The sequence below is a fragment of the Homo sapiens genome, chromosome Y (genome assembly GCF_000001405.40).
Source record: "Homo sapiens chromosome Y, GRCh38.p14 Primary Assembly".
Classification (NCBI taxonomy): Eukaryota; Metazoa; Chordata; class Mammalia; order Primates; family Hominidae; genus Homo; species Homo sapiens.
This window is the reverse complement of record NC_000024.10, coordinates 22,480,797-22,489,691: the sequence shown is the minus strand read 5'-3', so window position 1 is coordinate 22,489,691 and position 8,895 is coordinate 22,480,797. Positions and strand designations below refer to the sequence as shown.

At 46.7% G+C, this 8,895-nt stretch overlaps 1 long non-coding RNA gene across 1 annotated transcript in view; it reads right to left on the bottom strand.

The window, feature by feature from the left end:
* Positions 1-4,977: 4,977 nt before the first annotated feature.
* Positions 4,978-8,895, bottom strand: part of LOC101929148 (uncharacterized) — a 45,775-nt gene continuing 41,857 nt past the window's right edge. Inside the window, exons 10-13 of the long non-coding RNA NR_110413.1 lie at positions 7,150-7,235; positions 6,833-7,029; positions 6,171-6,288; positions 4,978-5,655 (exon numbers count right to left, since the gene is read on the bottom strand). This is a non-coding gene — a long non-coding RNA (uncharacterized LOC101929148). The remainder of the gene's footprint in view (positions 5,656-6,170; positions 6,289-6,832; positions 7,030-7,149; positions 7,236-8,895) is intronic.

Genomic DNA, 8,895 nt, shown 5'->3' with positions numbered 1-8,895 from the left:
TAGACAGAGCTCACAATCGGATCAGGTACCCTGAGACTAGCGCATGCGCATTTGTGAGGCAGACTCAAGTCAGGTTGTCAGAGCTGTCAGTCTGCCTCAGCAGGGGATAATGGAACAGGCAGAGCCCGCCTGGTATCGGGAAAAAGGCTGACTATAAAAACCCACTGCAGGACCCTGAAAATCTCGACCTCAGGGACCCTGCTGGCCATTTCCTTGTTCAGGTCCCGCTGGAGGAAGAGGTGTTTCGCGACTGCGATGTGGTCGCTGGAAACTGCTCTTCTAACTCCATTAGCGAAAGAGGGTGTGTGCAATAATTGGGTCCCAAGGGGGTTGGAATATAATCTGGTGTGTCGTTGAGTGTTCTTTGGGCGACAGAAACATACCTGAGACACCAGAAGTGGATGTCAGCAAAAGATGATTGGGCTTTTGAACTGAATGCCTCCCTTCATTCTGAGCCTTGCAGGGGCTATCTATGAAAGGCAAGAACCATAACAAAGGCAAGTCTAATGTGGAGCAGTGTTCTCACATCTCGGAATGGCCTCTCACTTGTGCAGATGTAGTTGAGACAGTGTCTCAGAGGCCATCTGTGGTGATGGCAAGCTTGAAAATGGTGTGCAGTGCTGCTGTTGGGGGGCACTATGGATTCCCCAAGAAAACAAAGAAAAACCAAGGTTCACCTAAGAATGAGCTGCCTTTGCTGGAGTCCAGGCAATGTTCAAGATTCCTGTCAGAAACCAAAAGCCTCCTGCAAAGTGCAAACAACTGCAGCCTCTACGATGAGACAATGATCCACAATATGGAGTGCAGCCAGTTTATCAAAGTCCCTTTTACTCTCTGAAATCCCTGGCAGCAAAATAATCTGTGGCAAGTGGCAGTCCTAGCCAGCAACAGCCCAGTGAAAGGGCCCCTCCACAATGAGAAGTCCATGCAGATGAGATGAAACAGGGGCTAGATTATCAGGCTAAAGCCAGACATGGCTGCCTCCTTCTCATCCTAGAGGAAACATGCAACCCTGTGATAGAAGTGGGAAAAAAAACAGATTCCTTGTTGGTGGGTGTAACAAGAATTTACCGTTTTAAAACTATCAAAGCTTCCCAGTCTTTAAAAGGTGACAATGTTTAGAAGGAAACACTCATGCAATGGATTCCCAGGAGGGTCGTTCTCTGTGAACTAGGAAACATGTAGTGTGGAAGTCATTGAGCCAGAAACAGGAAACCCTAGGTTGACGAGAAACGTAGAAGTCAGGGGAAAAGAGGCAAGTACGGAGGCCACATCCAATACAGAATCAATCAATTCTGCTCCCATTTGGCTCATGTATGAAGGCTCTTAAATGGAGAGTTTGCAAAAATGGCCCCAATTTGCCCTCCAAATATTCCTTGCAGGTTAAAGTACTCCCACCAGAACACTGGGCCATGGTGTGTACTGCTTGTGCAATTAAGGGGATGCAGAGATAAAGTTGGAAGAACCTTCTGTGTTTTCTGCCTTTATGTTTTGCAGGTGAAGTTGGGGGATTACTTCCACCCCTCACCAGATTGTATCTTCACCCCATCTGACCTCATTTCTGCTCACAATCTATGTCCCAGAATGAATTCCAAGATGATGAAGGAGATCTTCCTCATGACATGAAGCATCTGCTCAGCTGGAGACTGAATCCAAGCTAAATTCAAGGGGCCATGCACACAGATCTGTGAGGGTCACTTTCTGGTTTGGACTCTGGACAATAAAACACTGGGAGATGTCTTTTTTTTTTTTTTTTTTGGTATGGTGTGCTCATCTTTATAGACGAGTGGCTTTTGTTGCAGGGGAGGTGATTTCGATGCCTGCGTGTCTCAGCCCACCTCCCAATTCACTGCAGATTCATGATCCACAGACAAATAACAGGAAGCCCCACAACCCAAGCTGAGCCACACAGACAGGCCACCATAAGTATAAGAGACTCAAAAATAAAAGAAGTGCTGCAGTGCATTAGCCACATTCCTTTAAGCAGACTCCACCTACAGGCACACAAACACACACACAAACACACAATGCCACACGTACCCACAAAGACATCCAACACTTGCAACATTCCCATGGAAACACACTGCCTGGCAGCTACTGAGGCTGCATGGTTCATCAGAAATCCCCACCTGGGAGAGAGCAACCCTGAGGAACACAGGCAGGTTTTACCTATAAATCACGTTGGGACAGGTTTCTAAAAGACTCACACCTGCAACTTCTAGGCAGGCCTGAGGAATCCTGCAAATCCTTTTGGATCCTTAGGCAGTTCACCATTTATTCCTCTTCTTGATGTTTCCTCAGTCTGTCTCACGTCTGCCCTTTTCTAGGACTATCCTGTGAATCCCACAGAGAAGACAGGTGTGGTTCCACCGCCGATGGACCTCCACAGAATTCTCCTTCTCTACCAAGCCCCAGGCCTTCTCCCAGGATCATGAGACTATTTGTGGATTTCACAGAGAAGATAGGTGACAGTATACCACTGACACACCTCCCCAGTGGTCTCCTTCTCTGGCAAGAGGCAGGGACTTGTCACTAGGCAATGGTGACCCTTTTTGTAACTTTTGCCAAAGCTCACAATCAGGCCTGCTACCTTGAGACTAGCACATGTGCATTCGTGAGGGTGGCTCAGGCACCTGACTGTCACAGCTGTCAGCCTGCCTCAGCAGAGGAAAATAGTACAAGCAGAGATGGCCTGGTATCAGGACAAAGTCTGCCTGTGAAAACCAACTGCGGGACTTTAAAATTCACAAACTCAGGGCCCCTTCCATTCATCTCCGTGACAGGTTCCCGCTGGAGGAGAAGGTGTTTCAAGATGGTGACTTGGTTTCTGGAAACTGCTCTTCAGACTCCATTTATGAAAAAGTCTATGTGCAAGTATCAGGTCCCATGAGGATTGGAGTATTGTCTGGTGAGTTGTTGAGGATTTTTTGGGTGATAGAATCATATCTGAGACCCCAAAGGTGGGTGTCAGAGAAAGATGGCCGGTCTCTTGTCCTCACTGCCTCCCTTTATTTTGGACCTCGCAGGGGCTGTCTGGGAAAGGCAGCAACCTCAAAAAGGCAAGTCCAAGATGGAGCAGTGTTCTCACACCGCGGACTGTCTTCTCACAGGTGCAGATGAGATTGAGACAGTGTCTCCAAGGCTGTCTGTGGCCATGCAAACCTGAAAAGTGTGTCAAGTACTGCTGTTGATGGGCACTATGCATACCTTATGAAAGCAAAGAAAAATCAATGCTCGCCTGAAAGAATGATCTGACTTGGGCTGCAGTCCAAGCAATGTTCAAAGATTCCTGTCAGAGGACCCAAAAGCCTCCTGTAAAGTGCAAACAACCTCAGCCCCTATGATGACACCATGGCTTACAACCTGGATTTCAGCCAGCATAACCAAAGTTTCTTTTGCTCCCTGAAATCCCTGGCATCCAAAAGATCTGTGATGAGAGGTAGTACCATCCAGCAACAGTCCAGTGAAAGGTCCCTTCCACAATGAGAAAGGATGTGCAGATGAAATGGAATAGTGCCTAGAATGCCAGGCAAAAGTGAGATATGGCTTCCTGCTTCTCACCCTACAGAAATCTTGCATCCCCCGATAGAAGTGGTAGAACAAGAGTTTCCTTGATGGCAGCTGTAACAGGAAATCTTGGTTTTAAAAGTATCACAGCTGCCAAGTAATTAAAATGTTAAAATGTGACATTGTTAATATGAAATACTCACAATGGATTCTCATAAGGGTCATAATCACTGTATGGGGAAATGTTTAGTGTGGAAGATATTGAGCCAAACCCAGAAAACCCTAGGCTGGTGAGGATCATGGAAGTCAGGAAAAAAAGAGGCAAGTGTGGATGCCACATCCTACCTAGGATAAATTCATCGTACTCCCATTTGGCTCTAGTATGAAAGCCCTCAAATTGACAGTTTGCAAGATGGCTTCAGTTTGCACTCCAAATGTTCCCTGCACCTTGTAGTACTACCACCTCAACATCAGGCCATGGCGTGGACTGCTGTGCAATTAAGGGAATGCAGGGATGCAGTGTGAAGCACCTTCTGTCTTCTGTCTTCATCTTTTTTACATGTGAAGGTGCAGGTTCTCATCCACCCCTCACCACATTATATCTTCATCTCTCTGTGACCTTATTGCTGCTGACATTCTCTGTTCTAGAATGAAATCTCACGATGATAGAGGAATTCTCCTTCACGACGTGAAGCAGTTGCTTGGCTGGGAACTGAATTTGAGCTACATTTAAAAAGCCCTGCAGACAGGACTGCTGCTGTCTCTCCCTGGGTTGGCTGAAGGACGATAAAACACTGGGAGATGTCTGTTCTTGGGAGTGGTGTGGTCTTCTTTCTAGGAAAGTGGTTTTTGTTGGGAGAAGGAGGTGGTTTGTTACCTGGCAGGTCTCATCCTGCCTTAGACTTCATTACAGAGTCATAATCCATAGAAAAAGAAAGAATACAAAGCCCCGCAGCCTGAGACAATCCACTAAAAAGTTGGAAGACTTGAAAAAGGGGGGGCTGCAGTTCTTTAGCAAAATTGTTTTAAGCAGACTCCCCTTACACACACACACACACACACACACAGCCACACATACATGCAAACATCCAACACTCACAACACTCTCAACAGAAAAACAAAGCTTGGCAGATTCTCAGGCTTTGTGATTCTTCAGGAAGCCCCCCCTGGGAGACAGCCACCCCAGGAACAGAGGTATGCTTTACCTACAAATCACAGTGGGGCAAGTTTCAAAATGACTCACCCCTGCAACATCTAGGCAGGCATTAGAAATACTGCATGTCTTTTAAATCATTAGGAATGCTGCAGTTTATTCCTGAGGCTGCCCTTGAAGTTTCTTGAGGCTGGCTTCTGTCTGCCCTCTCCTAGCCTCATAGGACTATCCCATGCAATTTACATAGAAGACAGGTGAGAGTCCACTACCTATGCCCCTACATAGAGGTTTCCTCCCTCAATCCACATTGACTTGTCACTAGGCAATGGCGGCATTTATTGTGACACTAGCCAGAACTCCCAAACAGGCCTTTTGCACTGAGACTAGAGCATGAACATTTGCCAGGTAGATTCAAGTGCCTGGCTGTCAGAGCTGTCAGCCTGCCTAAGCAGAGGAAAATGATATAGACAGAGATGATCTGCTATCATGAAAAAGTCTGTCTGTGATAATCAACTGTCAGACCCTAAAATTATTGACCTTAGAGCCCCTTCGGGATGACTCTGTGGCTGAGACCCACTGAAGGAGGAGGCTTTTCCAAACTGAGATGGTCACTGAAAACTGCTCTTCTGGCTCCATTCGTGAAAGAGGCTGTGTGCAAGAATCAGGTCCCACGGAGATTGGAATATAGTCTGGTGAGTTGTTGAGGGGATTTTATGTGATGGAATCATACCTGAGATCCCAGAGGCAGCTTTCAGTGAATGGGGCTGGGCCCTTGACTTCCTTGCCTCCTATCATCCTTGTCCTGGCAGGAGATCTATGAGAAAGGCAGGAACCATGACAAAGGCAAGTCCAAAGTCAAGCAGTATTCTTACACATCAAACTGGCCTCTCACTGCTGCAGATGATGTTGAAAAATGTTCACAGAGGGTGTCTGTGGAAATTGCTAGTCTGACAAAGGTGTCCAGTAATGCTGTTGAGGGGCAAAGTGGACCCAGCCTGGAAAGAAAGAAAAATCAAGGCTTGCCAGAGAGAAGGAGCTGACCTGAGCTGGAATATAAGAAACTTTCAAAGATTCCTCTCAGAGGAACCAAAAGCCTCCCAAGAACTGCAAACAACCTCAGCTCTCACAAACAGACCACAGACCTTTCTGAAATCAGTGGCAGGAAATCTGTATATAGAGGCAGCCCTATCCAGCAACAATCAATGCTATACACCCTCCACAATGAGAAAGGATTTGCAGATGAAATAAAACAGAGTGTAAATTACCAGAAAAAAGCCAGACATGGCTGTCTGCTTCTCATCATACTGGAATTATGCAGCCTTTTGACAGAAGTGGGGAACAAGTGTTTCCCAAGGGCCGGACACGGTGGTTTATTCCAGTAATCCTAGAACTTTGGGAGGCTAAGGTGGGAGGATCATGAGGTCAGGAGATTGAGACCATCCTGGCTAAAATGGTGAAACCCCATCTCTACTAAAAGAACAAAAAATTAGCCAGGCATTGTGGCAGGTACCTGTAGTCCCAGCTACTCAGGAGGCTGAGGCAGGAGAATGGCATGAACCCGGGAGGCAGAGCTTGCAGTGACTGGAGATCATGACGCTGCACTCCAGCCCAGGCAACGGAGTGCAACTCTGTCTAAGAAAAAAAAAAAGGAATTTATCTGTTGGTGCCTGTAAAGGGAATTTATGGTTTTAAAAGTATCACAGCAGCTCTGTCATTAAAATGTGACAGTGTTTAGAAGGAAACACTGATGAAATACATTCCCATGAGGGTCATCCTCTGTGAACTGGGAAACATTTAGTGTGAAAGACATTTAGCAAGACCCAGGAAATTCTAGGCCAATGAAGAATATGAAAGTGAGGAAAAGAAAAGGCAAGTGTGGAGGCCATATCCCACACAGCATCATTCCATTCCACTCCCCCTTGGCTCCATGTACTGAAGCCCTCCAATAGGGAACTTGCCAGCATTGCCAAAGTTCACACTAACACTGTTTCCTGAAACTTGGAGTACTCACACCAGAAAACTGGGCCATGGTGTGGAATCCTTTTGCAATTAAGGGAATGCTTAAATGCAGTTGGAAGCACCTTCTGTGTCATCTGTTTTTACCATTTCTACAGGGGAAGGCATGGGACCCCATCTACCCTTCACCAGATTGTATCCTCACCCATATCTGACCTTATTGCTGCTCACACTCTGTGTCCCAGAATGAAATTCTAGGATGATGGAGGAGGGCCCCTTCACAACATGAAGCACCTGCTCATCTGGAAACCTAATTCGAGGTTAATTCAAGGGGCCCTGCAACATGACTGGTAGTGCCGTTTTTGGGTTGGCTGTAGGACAATAAACCATCCTCCAGCAATCATGCAGCTTTTCTGTAGAAGTGGGAGAACAAGAGTTTCCTTGTTTGTGGCTGTTGCAGGGATTTACAGTTTTAAAAGTATCGCTGCTGCCCAGTCATTAAAATACAACAGTGTTTAGGAGGAAATACTCACACAAGGGAATCCCATGAGGGTCATTTTCCATGAACTGGGAATGGTTGAGTTTGGAAGACATTGAGCCAGACCAAGGAAACTCTAGGCTGACGAGGAACATAGAAGTCAGGAAAAGAAGAGGCAAGTGTGGAAGCTACATCCCACCCAGTATCAATCCATCCCACTCGCATTTGGCTCCGTGTTTGAAAGCCCTCAAATTGAGAGTTTGCCAGGATGGCCCCAGTTTGCACTCCAAATATTCCCTGTGTGTTAGAGTACTCCCATCTGAAAATGGGGCCATGGTCTGGACTGCTTGTGATATTAAGGGAATAGAAGGCTGCAGTTGGAAATAACTTCTTTGTCATTTGTGTTCACCTTTTTTTCAGGTGAAGGCGTGGGACCCCATCAACCCCTCAACAGATTGTATCCTCAACCCTATCTGACCTCATTGCTGCTCACACTCTCTGACCCAAAGTGAAACCCCAAGATGATGGATTAGTGCCTCCGTACAAGGTGAAGCACCCGCTCAGAACCGAATTCGAGGTAAATTCAAGGAGCCCTGTGGACAATACTAGTGTCTATCACTGGGTTGGCCGCAGGATTAAAAAACACTGGGAGATGTCTGTTGTTGAATGTGGTGTGCTCCTCTTCTTTCTAAAAGAGAGACTGTTTTTCCAGGGAAAGGTGATTTGGACCTCTGCCAGCCTCCCAAATCACAATGGATTCATTATCCACAGAAAAACAGAGAACATAGAGCCCTGCAACCAAAGCATAACGACACCGACAGGCCACCAAAATGTTGGGAGACTTGAAAAATGAAGCACCACAGTGCGTTAGCCATATTTTTTTAAGCAGACTCCACTTACAGGTACACACACACACAAATACACAGACACAGGAAGCCACACACACACACGCACACACACAGATATCCAGCATTCTCAGTGCTCCCACAGCAACACCCAGCCCAGCAGTTCCTGGGTTGTGTGGGTCTGCAGGGAGCCCCACCTGGGAGAGAGCAACTATATGGAAAACAGGCTGTACCTAGGAATCACAGTAGGACAATTTTCCAAAAGACTCACCCCTACAATATCTAAGCAGACCTAAGGCATTCTGCAGATCTTTTTAGATCCTTATGGATTTCAGGGCTTATTCCTGGCTCTGCTTGATGTTATTTCAGCCTGGCTCACATCTGCCCTCTCCTGGGATCACGGGACTATCCCATGAATCCTACAGAGATGATAGGTGAGAGTCCAATGCCAATGCCCCTCCATGAAATTCTCCTTTTCCGCCAAGCCATAGAGACTTGTTGCTAGTCAATGTCAGCATTGATTGTAATGCTAGCCATAGTTCACATCTCATGCCTGTTGCCCTGATACTAGCACATGTCCATTTGTGAGGCAGGTGGTTGTGCCCAGCTCTAGGAGATGTCAGCCTGCCTAAACAGGAAAATGGTACAGACACAGCCGACCAGGTGTCAGAAATAATGTTGCCTGCGATAATTCACTGTAGAACTCTAAAATTTTGAGCTTAGGGCACCTTTGGGCCATCTCCGGGTAATTTCCTCTGGAGGAGGAGGCGTTTTGATACTGTGAGGTGGTTGCTGGAAAGTGCTCTTCTGACTCCACTCCTAAAAGAGGCTGTGTGCAGGAATCAGGTCCCATGGGTATTGGAAAATAGTCTGGCGATTGTTGAGACGTCTTTGCGTGATGGAATCATACCTGAGACCCCACAAGTGCATATCAGTGACAGATTACCAGGGCCTTG